The 18,606-nt window shown below is 46.6% G+C and overlaps 1 pseudogene across 1 annotated transcript; it reads left to right on the top strand.

Moving 5' to 3' along the window:
- Positions 1–5,136: 5,136 nt before the first annotated feature.
- Positions 5,137–7,412, top strand: GLYCAM1 (glycosylation dependent cell adhesion molecule 1 (pseudogene); annotated as a pseudogene). Its single transcript, NR_003039.3, has 4 exons — positions 5,137–5,419; positions 5,922–5,966; positions 6,753–6,980; positions 7,188–7,412. The product of NR_003039.3 is annotated as a glycosylation dependent cell adhesion molecule 1 (pseudogene) (transcript).
- Positions 7,413–18,606: the final 11,194 nt, after the last annotated feature.

The raw sequence follows: 18,606 nt of genomic DNA, 5'->3' as shown, positions 1-18,606 counted from the left end.
CTCACACTGGAATATAACCCCGCTTACCAGAGCTATTGACACGAAGCATCCAATTTGGGAATTGCTTATGTAGTTTGATGGATGGCTCCTAAGGACTTGAAGAGGAAAGGAAAAAGCCTACCCATGGATGGGTGAGTGATCACGAGGCATGCCAGGAACTGCAGCTTTCTGTGTAGCTGGCCCATCCAGCTCCACACCCACAGCCACTCACCCACTCCCAACCCAGCTCATGGGGCTGTATGTGGGACACTGAGCCACTAGCCCATGTGGGTAACATTCCCAAGGCCCCATCTTCCAGATGGAGAGAGAGTGTGTTTTCACAGACTGCCCAGGCTGAGCCAAGTCTGGCTCAGAGCTTCTTGTGGAGAAACTGGATATAGCTGGAATGGACATGACAGCAATGGACCCTGAAGAAGAGAATAGAGTCTCACTCAGAAAGAACTGCTAGATCCAGACTGGGAACAAGACAGAAGCTGCTCGCCTTCCCACCTACACCAGGGTCCCACAGCAGTGGAACCTCTCTGCAGTTATCTCCCCTGTGCTGGTTCTCTCCTGACTCCTTTCTCTAACGACTCTCCCATCTCTAATGTGGACCTGCTCCCTCTGGCTGTGTTACCTACTAAGCTCCTCTGTCGAAGGCTTTTTTTCCTCCCTATTCTAGTAATAGGGGATAAGGTGAAGTTTGGGAAGTGTTTGGAGGCAGAAACATTGATTTCCTAGAATAGTCAATGGATATGTGGGAAACAGCACAGAATGTGTGAAATGGAGTTCCACCGGGAAGCCAAGGATTTATGGCTGCTGTGACATTGACTCTAGTGATGCTTGGTGTGGGTGGGACATTATGGGAAGAGCACGGGAATCAGAGCCAAGCAGTTCCAGGTTCAAATCCCAGCCATGCCAGTTGCCGTCATGTCACTTTGGTAAATTTACTTAACCTCTCTGAGCCTCAGTTTTCCCAATCTGTCAGAGACTATCAATACTACCCTGTAGATTATTATGAGAATTAAATAATCCTGCACCTGGCTCAAGGTCAGACATCACAGAATGTTGGTCTCCTTTTCCCCCTTCTCTTCTCCAGCCCCACTGCCCCAGGGCAGCAACCCCCATGGTGATGTCCCCCCTTACCTCTCTCTCTCTCTCTGACACTCACACACACACATACACACTCATACTCTCACACTCACACACTCACACAACAAAAACAACAGACTCTCTACCTCCCAAAATCCTTACCAGAAAAGAAGTTTGAGCTTTTGTGTAGAAGCCATTGTGTCTGCCTAGGGTAGTCCTGTTCTCAGCATCAGAACTGCCCTGGATGCTGCTCTTTAAATGTGGGTTCCTGGGCTGCATCCCAGGCCTACCAAATGGAGAGGAAAGGGGATTCAAATGCACTCCCCAGCTGGTTGTGAAGTTTGAGAACAACCAGCCTGATGCTGTTCTTGAAATAAAAATCTCCCAAGAAGTTTTCCACCCCTGTTCCAAGAGGGTGTCAGGTCTTGGAACGGGAGTCCTAGAGATCCTTGGAGATCCATCTGGACTCTCCCTCTCCTTGCTGAGGAAAAGGATGAGGTCCAGAGAGGTGGCGGTGGGGCGGGGGTTGGGGGGTGCAGCTGCTGGTCGAGGACTGCAGAGTGAGTCCGTGGCAGAGCTGAATCTTGGACCCAGGTGTCCTCACTAAAAACTAATGATGCTTGAGGTGGGGTGGGTGGAGCTTTAAAAATAGGCTTTTTCAAGTTTACAAGACTCACTCAGATTCCATTAAGTGACAGAAGGAAGGAAGGAAGATCAGGAAGCCATCTCAGCAGGCTTCACAGAGTACCAAGCAGAGACCAGCTGGGCTGTGAGCCCCTCCAGCCACTCTGTGGACAGTCACTTTGTCATAGCTTGAGGCCCAGAGGCTCCCCTAGACAAGAGTCTTCACCTCACCCTCCATCCTGGCCTGTCTCTTCTTCTATTGTTTTTACATCTCTGAGTTTTCTTTCTCTCTGTCTCTCTGACTCATACTTCACTGAGAGTGACCCCATCCACTTGGTTAGGAACTATCCAGTAGAAAGCCCCGGAAATGGACAGGTCTCCTGAGAGGCCATGGCCTCCCTTGTGTCCAGCCTGTTGATTGTTACCTCTGAATAAGCCCAGGCTTCCTCACAAATAGGAGTGGTTAGGGTAACAGAGATATCTGACCCAAAGTCTGGCATCTTGTGTGCTAAGAACCAAGTGACCTCGTTTCTCAGAAGGGAGTTATAGGTGTGGCAGACACGTGGTCACCCCTCCAGGACATCTTTCCCGTAACTGAGTACCCAGGATGAGACTGGGCTCTGAGGAGGACAGATCAGGAAGGATGGACACGGAAAGTCTTGCCTGCTTCTAATCCAAGTCTGAGGCTGGTCTGGAACCTTCGGAGCCAAATTTAGCAAATAAACACAGAACACCCAGTTAAATGCAATTTCAGATATATCTGAGACATACTTAGGTACTGCACAATATTTGAGGCATATTGACAACATTTTCATTGTTTCTGTGAAATTCACATTTATCTGGGTGACTTACATTTTATCTGGCACCCTTACCTGGGAGAGGAGGGACCTGGTCTGTTTTGCTCAGCATTGGAGCTTAAGCGCCCACACCATACCTGGTGTAGGGCAGACATTCTTGTTGAACTCTGTGCGGGAGAAGGTCTCTCAGAAGTCCCCTGCCACACACACTAAAGAGATACTTTGTTGAACAAACATATCCCCCAGGAGCCATCTTTGAAAAGGCACATTGACTCATTTGACAAAACCAGACTGGAAACTTAGCAAGAGTTAAGATCTGCGCTAAATAAATTGGGATTCAGAGACAAGTAAGCTATGGCTTCTGTCCTCAACATGGTAACTGACCAGTAACAGCAACAGATTTCAAAACAGATCATTACAATAGAGTGTGGTAAGTGCTAGACAATAAAGGCCTAAGGCCAGGGTCCAGGTGATTTTGTTCACCATTATATCTCCAAATCTTGCTGCATGGCAGGCACTTAATAAATAATAGTGGAATGTAATAATGAAAAGATAAAGATATCAACAATGCATCATGGAACCACAGAGGTGAGTGACTAACCAAGGGAGGAGGGATGGTGAGAAGGTTGTGTTCACTCCAGGGAGGAGATGACATCTGATCTGGATCATGCTGTGGGAACATAGCAGACAGATGGAGAGGAAAGAGATTCCTGACAGAGCAACGGCATGAACCCAAGTATAACACTCCAGGAGTAGGGAATAATTCACAGGGGTAGGAAATGAGGCTGTGAAGGTGGAAGACCAAGGAGTTTGGACTTTGATCACATGGTGATGGATAGTGGTTAAAGACTTTTGAGTACAGAAGTGGCATGAACTTTGTGGGATCCCTCCAGCATTAGCATGAAGAATGGACTGTAGTGGAGACAGACTGGAAGCCAGAAGAGCAGTGAAAAACTAAAATAGCCTAGTCTGGAGATGATGAGAGCCTCAACATGTGAATTATGTATATTAGGAAATAAGCTTGCAGTGCTGAAACCCTACCCTCATAGACTTGCTGTGAATGCCCTCATCTGCCCCCGTCCTGTTCCCAAGTGCCCTGGGCTATGGGAGGAGAGGTTGCTGGTGAGAGGGGGAGTCAGGGAGGAAGGGGTGCTTGGAGGCAGCCCAAGACAAACTTCCTTCACTGCACCACCTTGCCTAAGGAGAGAGCTTTGCTGGAACAATTGGAGGACAACTGCCAGCCCCTTAGGGCTCTCCCGGGCAAAGGCCTCACACTGGCTAGCACAGCCAACTGTGGTCTCTAGGCGTTACCTTACCTACTCACATGCCCAGCAAGCCATGCCCCCTGCTGAGGATAAGAGACTCAGTGTTAGGGTACAGCAGCCTTCTCCTTCTTGGAGAGGTTTCAGAGAGAATATCAAACTTCCAGCTGGAGGAGGAAACAAGATCAACTAGATCAGTTCCTAGGCCCACGACCAAGACCCAGGCCCTACGCACAACCCTCATCTGCTCTCCAGATGCCTCTCTGGGCATCCCGCTGCTCCATCTTGTCCAATTTTAGAGCCACTAGACCCCAGATGTAGAGTTAGACTGACCTGGGTTCAAATCCACCCATATATGTGGCCTTATGCAAGTAATCTCACCTCTATGAACATCAGTTTTTTTTTCCTTGGTAAATAACACATACCTCCCAAACCATCACGAATTAAATGAGATATCCCATAGGAACAAACTCAGGACACTACCTGGCATATAGTCAGAATTTCTGTAACTGCCTCACTCCTTCATTCCTGAACTGATGGGGAGTTTTATCTGCACCCTAGAGCAGGGGTTCCCAACCCCCAGGTCACGGACTGGTACTAGTCTGTGGCCTCTTAGGAACCGGGCCACACAGCAGGAGGTGAGCAACAGCCAAGTGAGCATTACCACCATGATGTGCCTCCTGTCAGCTCAGTAGCAGCATTAGATTCTCACAGGAGTGCGAACCCTATTGTGAACTGCACATGCAAGGGATCTAGGTTGCACGCTAATCTAACTAGTGCCTGATGATCTGAGGTGAAACAGTTTCATCCTGAAACTATCCCCATCCTCCCCCTGGCTGTGGAAAAATTGTCTTCCATGAAACTGGTCCCTGGTGCTAAAAAGGATGGGGACCGCTGCCCTAGAGGACAGCCTGACCGTTCCTTGATTCATTCACTCCACTAATATTTCCTAGAACTCTACTATGTGCCACATACCTGCTAGGTACTGGAAAAACAATGGCAAGCAAAACAGATATAATCCCAGCCATTTTGGAAGTTTCATTCTTCTGGAGGAGATAGATGTTAATTAAATGATCATACTAATGAAAGTAAAATTACACAGTAATGAGTACCATGAAAGAGGGAAACTCACACCCATGTCCTTATTCCATGGACTTCTGGGGGTAAAAGCTGGAGCCGACACACCTTCAGCATGGTCCGAGCCAGGGGGAAGGCTGGGGGCCTTACTTTCCAGTTAACCGGTTTCCCAGAAACTCCAGTTCCCAAAAACAAACCTATTCAGAATGGGAAACTCAGGAGGGGAAACCTAGTATGTTCCCAGGTCCAGTTTCCCCAGAGTCCATCCCTACCCCAAAATAAATAAAGCCCCTGCCAGGCTGCCTCTTCAGCAACTCTAAGCAGCCTCCCCCAGGAAAAACTGATCCTGCTACAGCTCCACCATGAAGTTCTTCATGGTCCTGCTGCCAGCCAGCCTAGCCGCCACCTCTCTCGCCATCCTTGATGTTGAATCTGGCCTCCTTCCACAACTCTCAGTCCCCTAAGGGTTATTGAGCTGTCAGCTGGAGAGACCTCAGCACTAGAAAGGGCCTTCCTTAATCCTTGTAATATGCTGTGTGGAGAGGTGGAAAGCTGCAGAACCAAAAGTTCACACCTGGGATGACCTAGGTATGGAGGTGAGGGACTAGGGCATATGATCCCGGGAATTCTGCAACCTAGAAAGCCTGGAGCAGGAGCCAGAGGGGCCAAATCAGGATGCACTCTGGGTCAATGGAGGTTCAGATCAGATTCCAGCCTCTGGTGATGCTGGATAATCCAGGCAGAGTCACTACCTTTCTCTGGACTTCCGTGCCTCCCTCTGTACAATATGTACACACATATTCATTCCATAGCTACTTACTGAGCACTAACTCTGTGCCAGACACGTAGTTCTAAGCACTTGGATACACTAATAGAATAGAAACTCAGTCATCATTGAAATTACATTCTAAGATAAAGTAACAAACAATGAACATATTAAGTAAATTACAAAGTATGTTTGAAATGCTAAGGAGGATGTAAAGCAAGGTAAGGAAGATTGAAAATGCTGGGGCAGGAGGGGTTACAGAGGGAAAAACTCATATATTAACTGTCTTGAGACCTCTGAAGACTTTAACCTCTTCTTTTTCAGAGCCAGAAGGTGAAATTCACTCGGAGACTCAGCCTGCAGATGCCTGTAAGTCTCATGCTGGCATCCTTTAGAGTAAGTCACTGGTGGTAAAAGATTGTCCAGTAAATGATGAATTCTCCCTTTGGGAAAGAAGTGGAGCAAAGATAAGCCCTCCTAGTATTGAACCTTAATCCTTCCTGCTGCACTTATTGACCAAGATGTGAGGGCCAGGAATCATTTGAATAGCCCTTTCTGCTGGCTAGTCATTGGAGATAGGAATGGGGACTACACCTCACACCCAAGTGCTAGCAGGTAAAAGGTTTCAGCTCATGGAGGTGAGGATGTTGGAGTGGCTCATCCGTTCCAGGCTCCCCACTGCCACAGCCCAGAAACCATGAACATTTCAGGATTCTGCTTTGTGTATTATCCATAGACATGGTTTAATCTCAGGCTAGCTTCCCCCAATCTACCTTGGAGAAGCCAGAGAAGGCAGATTCAAGCAATACCCAGAATTCAGAAGAAAAAAAAAGAAAAACAATATTTACTGAACTCCTCCAATGGGCCAGACAATGGGACCTATGTTTGCAAAGTTAATCCCTTCTCATTGGGAAGGTAAATTTGCTGGGGAAAGTGGAATTCCTAATCAATGGCATTCAAAATCAGAGATGTGCCTTTCAGGTGCTCATAGATTTGGATTCTGATACGGGACCTCAGTCCTACTTGTATGTTAATTAGGCAATGACTCAACCCTGATAGACTCCACATGTTAAGGGACATGACATGGGATGGCTGACTGCTTCTCACCATGTGCTCTCACTCTGCCCCCCATTCCCTTTATCTTCCTGGTTCCAGCTGCCCAGGTCACCCCTAGCAGCCACCCCAAGAAGGACCATGTTTCCAATGAAGCCTCTCTAGGAGCGCTTCATCTCCAAAGAAGAGCTGGTTTCCAAAAAGAATGCTGTCAAAAGAGCACACACCCCAAGAGGACAATTTCAAAAATGTTAAGCTCCAATTAGAAGAGACTACAGAACTGGCTCCCAGGGCTGGTATGAGCCAGGGAAGGGGCAAGCCCCCGGGCAGGTATTGAGCAGGAAAAGGAAGGGGCTGGGAGCTACTTGGGTGGAAATAGGTGGGGTTAGAAAAAGAAAGGAGGCTGTGGAGGAACAAGAACTAAATGTGAGTGTGAGTCAAATGAAGCATCGATTGCCAGCCCTGTGAAAGGCTGTTGCTGGGGTGGAGGGGAGAGGGGGGAAGGGAACCAGCCTTAACTTGGCATTTCCCTCTCAGTACTCCTCAGCAACCGCCTCAGAGGGAAAACTTGCCAAACTGGCCCATAAAATCGGGAAGAATCTGGACAAAGCATTGAAAGGAATCATAAACTATCTGAAAAACCTAATCCCTAGCGCCAATGATGTCATGAGGCCCTAATGATGAGGGTGCCTGAATTCCAGGCTAGGCTGTGGGAGACGCCACATCCAAAAGCCATCTTTCGGCTCCTCAAATTCATGTATTAAAGCATTGTGTCCCAAGTCTGACTCTGTGGTGGCTTTGCTGGGCTCAGGAAGAGAGGCAGGATGCCCCCACTCTACTGGGTTTCTTTCTTAGTTACCCTATCCCTTTGAATTTAAACCTCTCATCCCTCTAAGCTTACAAACCTGCTCATGTCTCCACATCCCAAAACATCTTCTGCAAAGTCCTGACCCTCCTCGCCACTGCCCCCACCTCACCAATGCACTGCCCCATGGCCCTCAGCTCCTGTGCACGCCTTATGCCCCTACAGTCTACCATCTGCATCCATCCAGCCTCCACAACTGCTCTCCAAAGAGTCACAAGCATCAACAAATCCTGTGACAGCATCTGTAGAACTGGACACAATTACCCCTTCTAGAAATTTCTCCTCACTAACTTTCCAGGACACTGCCCTCTCCTAGCTCTCCAAGCTCCCTGTTCCTTTCCCAGCACATTTTTGGACTACACTCTGTGCTCCCAGCATCTCATCCTGTAACCTCTTGTCTTCTCTCCACCCTCTTCCTCTACACCCTCATCTGCCAAGACTTCTGCTTCACCACAGAGTGGATGACTCCCATTCCCACACTCGACAAACACCCCCCACATGCTTACTATGTGCCAGGCGCATCTACCTAATATGTGCCAATCTCCTCCCAACCCTGGCCAGTTCTCACTGTAACAGCATATGAGATTCAATGGGTAAAGAAGAGCATGGGAAAATGAAGGTTTCTGTCTTACAGATGAAGGGAAGCTGTCACTCAAGGGCAGGTAGGATGGCAGGAAGGGAAATATCTCTGATCTCTAGTGTCCTACCTCCAGGACACATGAAAAGATGTGCTTAGAAGATCAACATAGCAACTGACCTATTGCAATGCAGAGCTGGTCTGTCCTGGCCCAGGAGAATCTGGAAATACATTCAGACCTGGAGGCAGATAAAATAGTCTACTTCCTCCCTTTGCTTTCTCCTAGTATAGAAAGTTGCCACATGTCCACTTTCCCTCGTTTACCCACCTTCCTCCCAGTGGAAGAACACACAACTCCACCAAAAACATCTCCCAAGCTAGATCGAAAGTTCTATTATGGGTCTTTCTCAAGATATAGCTTAAGATAAGGAAAAATTATTTTCAAAATGACAGAGGAAGGAAGGTAGGAGCCTGTGGAATTCAGGAAAAAAAACTAGAGGGAAGTTTCCTGAGTGGGTGATATTAGGAACATGGAAGTGTCTTGCAGATTAAGAAGCCCCAGATTCATCCTTTTGGTCCTCCAGTTCAGGCCAATACAGAAAAGGATATGAGAGTTGTTACCCAGTGAGGATCAAAGCATCCATCTTATTAATGGCTGGACAGCTGTGCCACAGCCCAGAGCGCAGGGCTGTCTGTGGAAACTGGATGGGAGACCTCAGGCTAAAGGGCCCCTGCCCACATTCCCAACCCCGACTGACTCACTGAATGAACAGAAACAGGGCTGGAGAAGCCACTATCAGGCTCTTATCTGTAAGATCAACTACTCTTCCCCCGGGAGGAGGAGGGAAGGAATGGAAAGGTAGACTGGGAAATATTCCCTCCAACCTGCTCTTCTTGTTGGGAGGGGATAGGAAAGAACGCCCCCAACACAGAGTCACATAAGAGAGACAGCCTTCTCTCTTCTGAAGCCTTTGGGCTTAACAGGTGAGCCTGAGATCTGCGATCAGCCACAGCTGTGATTGGAGGGGTGAGGGAGAGAAGATCAGCAGCACATCAGAGTGGTCTTCTACCCTGCAGCTATTTGGCCATTTGTGGCCTTAAAAAGTGGCCTTACCATATGCCCACTGATTTAATATACAGTAGCTCCCACTATGTGGTAGGCCCTAGTTGCAAATGCTTTATACATATTTACCAATTTAGCCCTTGCAAAAGACTTAAAAAGTTTGTTATCTCCATTTTAAGATGAAAAAAATTAAAGTACAGCTCCTCACCACAGTTCTTTCCTCCTGAAATTGGTGGCTTGACAAGTTTACTGTTGATACCCAAGCCTCTGATTTGAGTTCAAATAGAACACAAATTAACTCCAAGACTGTACTGTTCCCTAGACTCTATTTCCTCTCTCCAATCTGCTCAGTCATGTTGCTCAGTAGAGCTCACTTGAGGGTTACAAATAAGTACTATGTAGCAGCATAAAAGATCAAATAATTCAACACCAGCAAAAAAAAAAAAAAAAAAAAAAAAGTCCTAAATTTGAACATAAAACCTCTTCTAATTTTTCTTTCTTTCTTTCTTTTTTTTTTTTTTTTTTTTTAAGGCAGGGTCTCATTCTGTCATTCTGTCACCCAAGCTGGAATGCAGTGGCACAATCTCTGCTCACTGCAACCTCTGCCTCATGGGCTCAAGCAATCCTCCTAATTTCAAAAGGCACAAAGAACAAAATTGAAATACACTCTTTCAGTGCAAGAAAAGTAAAGTCCAAAATTCCTCCCCTCCCAATGTTTTCCTCATCCTTAGCCCAGAGTCTCATTCAAAAGGCATCTAGGTATGTCCATTTGTCTAGACATCTCCATTCTTAAAGAAAATTCATTTCCCAGCCAGGCATGGTGGCTCTCGCCTGTAATACCAACACTTTAGGAGGCCAAAGTGGCAGGATCACTTGAGGTCAGGAGTTTGAGAGCAGCCTGAGCAACATAGCAAGACCCCCATCCTTATTTAAAAAAAAAAAAATATATATATATATATATATATAAAATTAGCTGGGCATGGTGGTGCACACATATAGTCCCAGCTACTTGGGTGGCTGACACAAAAGGGTCGCCTGAGCCCAGGAGTTCAACGCTGCAGTGAGCTATGATTGCGCCACTACCCTCCAGCCCAGGGTGACAGAGCAAGGCTATGTCTCTGAATAAATAAATAGAAAATCCATTCCCAAAAACTCATTCTCTGTCTCCCCCAACCAGCTGCCAGGCTCTGGCTGGGCCTTCAAACATGAAAAACTTTGTGACCTGTTGGGATGAGGTGGAGAGAGTGGTTTTTTTTTCTTTTTTTTTTTTTTCCTTCTCTTTTTTTTAGACGGAGTCTCGCTCTGTCAGCAGGCTGGAGTGCAATGGTGCGATCTCAGCTCACTGCAACCTCCACCTCCTGGGTTCAAGCAATTCTCCTGCCTCAGCCTCCCAAGTAGTTAGGACTACAGGCACGGGCCACCATGCCTAGCTAATTTTTGTATTTTTAGTAGAGATGGGGTTTTACCATGTTGGCCAGGATGGTCTCAATCTCTTGACCTTGTGATCCGCACGCCTGGGCCTCCCAAAGTGCCGGGATTACAGGCGTGAGCCACCACACCCAGCCTGGGAGTGGTTTTTGTCATTTTTGTTGCTCCAGCTGTTTGGTAGAATAAGATCTGGAAGAGAAAGGGGGGGGTACACACACTCTCCCTATCACTTTAGCTTCCCAATGTGGAGATAGGGTTAGGTACCTGCGTCTCCATCCTCTCTCTGGCCCGGGGTGAGCCACCGCCTAGGTCTCTAAGGTGTGACTACAAGAAGGATCATGGTGAAGCCTCACAAATCTGTAGAGGATGAGGAGGACACAGAGCCACCAGCATGGGGCATGTTCCCTGGGAGTCAGGGGAAAGGCTGCTATGCCTGGAGGCAGGGGACTGGCTCCCTCCTGGTCTTTTTCCCCCTGAAATGTGAGTAGTTCCTCTGGCATCTACAAGGTTGACTTAATCCAACCCCAAGGAGCTCATGGGTCCCTCCTTTTCAAAGTTAGAGTAACTAGGATACACGAAATACCATGCACCAGCTCTGCACCAACCAAACTCAGAAACACAAGCACATTCTCAGGCCCCAGAGCAATTATGTGCCCAGGCCCTAGTGCATGGTTTTTTGTGGGGCTTTTAAGGGTTGTTTTGTTTGTTTGTTTGTTTGTTTGTTTGTTTTGCAGGGGTAGAAGGTGGAAGAAAAAAACCTTCTACACAGGTTCAAGGTGCAGAGAGAGATGTCATGGAGGGCCAGCGCTCAGCCGCAGTGCCTCAGGTATACCTGGCTCCATGCAGGTTCTCCAGCCACACTTCTGCTGCTGCTTGTGGGCCTCATCTCATCTGTGTTCCTCCTACATGTCATTATCAGTGAGCAGCTCACGGCAGCATAGCGGGAGGAATTTGTCTTGCTTAACCAGGGAAGGTTCAGTTGCGTTGGAAGAGGGGATGGCAAGGCATCTCCATGTCAGTCTCCTCCTCAAGGCTCAAAAGACACATGGGGCACTTGAGCTGTGCAGGAATCCCATGGCTAATGCCAGCATCATACTGTGGCAGAAACTAAGTGGTATCTGCAAGAAGAGAGAAAGCCTTGACTTCACAAGTGGGAGAAATCTCTCGTGGAGTGACTAATGTTGGCATTAAGTTTGCCTTCAGAGGGTGGGGTCATGTATACAGCCTCTTCTTTCAAAGTGGGGGCTTAGGATATTTCTATCATCTTATGATATTTAGAAGTTTAAGCTTGATTCAATCATACCACAATGTATACATATATCGAAACATCACATTGTACCCCTTAAATGTATACAACTATGATTTGTCAATTAAAAAATTAAAAATTTTTAGAAAACATAGAATCTCAGACGTGACTAGATCTATTTATTTCACGCATGAATTCCCTTTAGAGTGTATTTCATCTTCTCAGTAATTCTGTGGCATGCTTCCTCAGGACATGGGCAATAACAGCCCCCAAACCCCCATTAAAAAAAAAAAAAACCTGCATTCCTTTGAAACTTACCTAATAATGTTTCACCACTAAACTTCCTGTTCGTCTTCCCTCACTCTGTGCAAGTGACTGGGTCAACGCTCCCTCTAGCGGCCTCAAACTGTTTTGCATCGTTGTTAAATCTCTCCAGGCCCCATTCACCCTCCGTGATCTAGAAATAAATAAATATTCTGCTCTCTTCTAGTTCCATCCTTAAAACTATCTAGGCATAGAGCCATTTCCCTTCTCTTTTAATGTATCTCAAGCATGGGCTCTATGAACTCAAACTTTCTCCTGAGAAAATCTCATCTTTTCTCCCAACTCAATCAACAGAACTGCCCTCTTTTTTCTTTTCCCTTTCTGTCTGACTTGTCTCACTATAAGACCAAGACTTGTACCTTATATGAACCCCACGTTTCCCTGATTCTTAGGAAAATATGATTTCTAAAGAGTTTTCCAGGTACAGGACTTGTTCATTTCTCCCATACTCTTCAAGTTTATAGTAATTCCATGGAGTTTTTCTTCACTTTCACCCAGTGACATTTCCTCCACATAAAGGATCCCATTATTTTTATCTGTATGAAGTCGACCACACCTCTGTGGTTAATCCCACAGTGGGACTCTGAAATCTGAAACCCTGGCTGGAGCTTCATAAATGTACAACCCCAAGCCACTTTGAGACTACGTGGTAGGAAATAATCCCAGGAGCCTGTGATCAGGCCATAAACAAAATCCCTCCTGAGTCTTCCTGCCACCCTAAATGCAGTTCAAAACAAAGCACACATTGGGACCTGCATCTGTGGGTGAGAAAAAAGAACAAGAGAAACGTGTTAAATGAAAACTAGGAAAAAAGTGAACAACAACATAAAAGAAACCAAACTAGACAATCAGTTGGACAGCCAACCTAGCATCACCTACTAAATATTAACACACATCATCTGAAGCCAAAATTTCACAGCCTTATGCTCTGTACCCAAGTGGAATTGGGATAATTTCATTCCAGCCTCAGCTGCACCCACGCAGCTGCAGGTCAGAGTTACCTTTAGAGTGTTTGCTGTTAAAATCCACTGTATTTGGGTCCCCCAAGGCCAGTCTTTGACTTCACCATCACAGCTCCAGGGAGGGCCACCAGCACGTCATCCCTCTGCCCCTCTGAGTCTGGCCAATGGAGAAGGTGTCCAGAGAACAAGGAGCAAAAAGGAAACCAAAACATCGATTGTATTAACAGCCAGACAAGTGCCGGGGAACCCACAGCACTCTGACCTCTCTGGCAAGGCTGAGCTGGAGAATGCTATCGAGACACAAGCCCAAAAGGGGCCTTCTCTCTGTCCTGCCTGAGCCACTAAACGGTGAGAGAAACAGCATGCATCCCCCAGGGAAGAGGTGGGAAGGTGAAGTCCTGTCCAAGTGTGCACCCTCATGAGAGAGGGCAGGAGGGAAAGAGGCAAAGCTGTTGAGGAACATTCCTGTTGATGCATTAACTCCGCCCCCTGGTGAAACGTGGTGTAATAAATGTTCTGTCTCACCAGCTGTCATAGCATCTCACCCTGTGGGAAGGAGCAGTCACCCAGAAGAGAGCCTTTCATCTTGTATTAGTTTTCTAATTACAAATTACCACAAATTTACCAGCTTAAAACAACACAAATTAATTATTTTACAGTTCTGTAGTTCAGGAGTTCCAGATGGGTCTCACTGGGCTAAAATCAAGGCATGTCAGCAGGCAGGGCTGCGTTCCTTTCTGGAGTCTCTAGGGGAGAATTCATTTCCTTGCCCTTTCCAGCTTCTAAAGGCTGTCCACAGTCTTTGGCCCATGGCCCCATTCCTCCATTTTCAAAGCCAGCCCCATCCGGCCAAGGCTTCTCACCCTGCCATCAGTCTAGTTATCTCTTTGGAATCCTTTGTCCACATTTAGGGATGCTTGAGATTATACCAGGCCCACCCAGATAATCTAGGAGAATTTCCCTATTTTAAGACCAGCTGATTAGCAACCTCAGTTCAATCTGCAACCTTAATTCTCTGTTGCCAGTGTAACCCAACACACTTACAGGTTCTGTGATTTCCGACGTGGACCTCTTTGTGGGGCCATTAGTTATTCTGCTCCCACACATCTCCCATGGGATTAGCCACCACTCACATCCCCCCTTAAGCCATAGGAATCAGTCACCAAAGGCCTTGAAACCATTCAGGTAGGCACCAAGGTCTATTCCTTGTCCTGATTCCTCTTGTAGAAAGGTGGGCAACCAAGATCCTTGGGTTCTGTCTCTCTGTTGACCACAGTCACTTCCAGGACCAAGCCAAAGCTTTCAGATATATTTGTCATCCAGAACCCCTACCCTGTTTGGCTCTGTCAGCCCCAAATCTAGCCCAATTCTCTCTGCCCAGTCTCTCTCTGCCAAACCCTTTTACTATGCCCTCTAGAACTCCTGATCAGTGGTCAGTAAATTCCTTGGTATTCCCAATGTCTTGTTTTGAATTTTCTCTCTATTGCTTAATCTCCCTTTTTTTTCTTTCTTCTCCCAACTTTCAACTGATACCCGTTTTTTCTTCTTTCTTCTCCCATCTTTCAACTGATATTGCCTAATCTAAAATAACATTTTAAGGCCAGGTGTGGTGGCTCATGCCTGTAATTCTAGAGCTTTGGGAGGCCAAGGTGGGAGGAACGCTTGAGGCTAGGTTTTCAAGACCAGACTAGGCAACATAGCAAGACCCTGTCTCTAAAATAAAAACAATTAGCTGGGCATGGTGGCACGTGCCTGTAGCCCCAGCTACTTCAGAGGCTGAGGTGGGAGGATCACTTAAGCCCAGGAGTTCAAGGCTGCAGTGAGCTACAATCATGCCACTGTACTCCAGCCTGGGTGAGAGAGTAAGAACCTGTCCTTTAAAAAATAATAATAATAATAATTTCAGATTTTCTGAGACTCTGACAACCTCTATTTCACTCTCAAGTGGAAACTGCTTTCTCCTTTAGCCACCAACCGCCTCAGAATCCGAAGGTGGGAAGAAGGATTTTCCTCCTTGTTCTCCACTGCCACTTCTAAACCATTCCTCTTCCGTTCTACTCCAAAATCTCCCCTTCTTTGAAGCTCAGAATACATGCTGCGCCCTCCTACCAACCCCTCTCCCTTACAGGGAGCCCCTAACCTCAGCACCTGGTCTTCCTCTTCCCACTTGCTCCTGTCCTTTTTTGAGGACTGTCAGTGTTCATGCCGATGACCCCCCAACACTCTGACTTCTCAGTTCTTAACCTTTGTACCTCAGCCTACGCGCCACCACAGCCACTTCCAAAATCCTAAATTCAAGAATCCCACGTCTGGCCACAATTTCCTGCCCTTCCATCTCCATTACAGTAGAAGTCCAGTTGTAACAATTCTTTGACCTGATCCAGACCTCCGATTCACTGACCCTGCCATTTTTTCCATGTAGCTAATAACTTCATTTCCCAAGCTTCCTTACAGACAGATGTGGCCAAGTGACTAGGTTTTGGACAGGAGGATATGAACAAATACAATAAGGGCAAATGACAGGTGGTGCCCTTGACAGAAAGAGTGTGTCCTCCCTTTCTCCTTTCTAAATCCTTCACGCTGACTGGAATGAGATAAAGGCATGGGAGCTAGAGCAGCCCTCTTAGGCCACTAAATGGAAGCTACATATTGAAAAGAAAGGGTAACGAGATAGAATGTCCAGAATATTGTGGAGCCACCATATTATCTCTGTTTAACTTCTGTTCTGTTGAAGCCATGCCATTACAATCTTGTTACTACCCCTGGACTAATGCCTTAATAGACCTCTTCATCTCATCTTCCTGTCTCGTTAAGTATCACCCCCATATACTCAATTAGTCAAACCAAAAACCTAAGAGTCAATCTTGATTTCTGCCTTTCCCTCAATCCCCACAATTAATTCACCAACAAGCCTACAGATTCTATCTCTGAAATATATCCTGACTTCACCCCTCTCTCCCCATCTCTCTGCCACCACCCTGTTTCCACTTCCACTGTTGACCACCTGAACCTCTGCAATGGCTTTCTGAGTAAGCTCTCTGCCTCCACTCTAAGCCCATACAATCCAGGCTCCGTCAGTAACTAGACAAGTGGTCTTTTCAAAGTATATATCAGATCAGGTCTGCTCCTTAAAATTATCAGGTGGTTCCCATTACACTTCAAATAAAATCCAAACTCTCTAGCAGGGTCTACAAGGCCCTGTGTGGTCTGGCTTCCAAATATCCCCCCAACCTCATCTCATTCCGCTCTCCTGCCCAATACAGCGTGACCATGCTGGCGCCCTTCACGGTCCTTGGACACACCAGCCTCTTTCCCAGTTTCATCCTTGTTCACTCTGCTTAGAATCCTCTTCCTCTTGCTGTCTGCATAGCTGACTCCCTCTCACCCTTCAGGTCTTGGTTCAAATGTCATCTTATCAGAGAGCTTCCCTGGCCACTCCCACCCATCCTCCCCCCAGTTACTTCTGTCACCTCGCCTTGTTTATTCCCCTCATTGCATTTCCTATGCTCTGAAATGTTCCTACTTTTACATTTATTCACTTGTTTATATACTTTTTTACCTCACAAAAATGTAAGCTCCATGAAACCTGGGAACGTATCAATCATTATTATTCACTATTTTCTCTCCAGTACCTTGAACAGTAATTACTGGGCAAAGAGTTGAAGTTCGATGAATGAATTTGAATTGAATTCATGAGTGAATTGAATAAACAAATGAATGAATGATCAGTAAAATTAGCTACTTTTTTTTTCCTAGAAAAGAGCAAGTAAGGAACAGCGAGAGGCTAGAAGGGTTCACTCTGACACCCACCCCCGTGTGAGGTAGGGAGCAAAGTCCTCCCCTCTAATGGAAATGGGCACAGGGATGGGGCAGCCGATAAGGGTCACCTTTTCCCAGAGTGGTTAGAAGAAAAGGATGCTGGGAGGGGCTGAGAAGCCTTCTTGCTCAAAAGCCCAGTGCTCTCCCCGCTCACCTCTACAGGATTCCTGAAGAAGTGAGGAGAAGATCACCTGCCCACAGAACCTAACCCAGCATCAGAGGAAGCCTGAAGTGAGGAAGCCTGAAGTGAAGAAGCCTGAAGTAAAGAAGCCTGAAGCTATAGCGCAGAAAGGCCTTCTCAACACATGTTCAGGTAGGGGGACTCCAAAATGGGGACTTTCTTTTATAGGGGGTGGGAAAGGGTCTTATCAAAAAAACAATGTCCCCCTTCACTCCCAAACTTCCTACACAGAATATGGAGTTCCTTCACAGGGGGGTAGGAAGAGGGTCAGGACAGCCTCCATAGAGCCCTCCGCAAGTCCTCCCTTACCCAAGGAGACAGAACAGTTGAGGCCTCAGATTATAAGGCTCTAGATTAGCAAAGCACTTATTCTTTCTCCTGTTAGCTCCTTCTCTCCTGTCCCAGGGGCCCTTTTCCTTCAAGTGGAATCACAGAATCTTTCACTTATAGACTGATGCATAATTTCAGAACAACCCAGGATTCTGAAGCATTGATTTGGAAAGAGCCCCCAGACAGTTTTTGCCTGGATCCCTCCATCAGCAGAGAACTCCTTCTGCATAAGGTAGCTTCCTCCAGGCCCTGGTGGCTTAGATGGGGCCTTCTGCCTCCCTGCCAGTCAAACTTGTCTCCCTCTAACTTGTTCAGCCTGGTGGAGCAGCACAGGTACGTGGGTTCTTATTTCCACATGACAACCCTTAAAACATCTAAAGACAATCATTTTAATAATAAATAATACCATTTAATGAGAACTAACAAGGAAGTGTGCTAAGAGTTTTGTGTATATTATCCCATTCAATACTTGAAACATCTCTAAGATGTAGGAATTATTATTATTCCTATTTCTTCGATAAGGAAATAAGATCAGAGAAGTAAAGCAACCAGCCCAAGGTCACTGGAGTATTGGAAGAATCAGGATTTGTTCCAAGGCCGGACTGACTCCATCCAAAGCCCATGCTCTCACTCCCTCTATTATGCCAAGCTCACCCACCCGGCTACACAACATCGAATCTTCTTTTCTCCCAGCTAAACAACATCGAATCCTTCAAGTGTTGCTTCTCTGAAGAGTTCAAGACTCCCATCCCCCTCCATTTCTTCCAATAACCTCTAAGTTCAATAGAATCCTTGCAGCCCCAGAGCCTCAGACCCTCTTTCTGGAAACTGGGAGAGGAAAAGGAAGCTCTTCTTCTGCTAAGGTGTCTCCCCAAGGGTCCCCCAAGACCCCAGTCTCCCCTTAGTCTCCAAACACTGCCGTAGCCACCACTCTTTGCTACCCTCTCTCCGCCTCCCTTGCTAATTTCACCTCCCTTGTCCACCAGAATTCTGTCAATCTGCTTCCCCCTTATTCTCACATTATTCTTCCTGTAAGTCCTACTCAACTTTAAATTAAAAAAAAAAAAAGCCTAACTCCAATTCGCCCTCCTCTGCAAGCCTTCTCTGGTTCCTTCAGGCTGCCCCTTCCTCAATGCTCCCAAAGTCCTTATTTCTGCCTCT

This window comes from Homo sapiens, chromosome 12 (genome assembly GCF_000001405.40).
Source record: "Homo sapiens chromosome 12, GRCh38.p14 Primary Assembly".
Classification (NCBI taxonomy): Eukaryota; Metazoa; Chordata; class Mammalia; order Primates; family Hominidae; genus Homo; species Homo sapiens.
The sequence above is the reverse complement of the archived record's forward strand: the minus strand, read 5'-3'. Positions and strand labels throughout refer to the sequence as shown.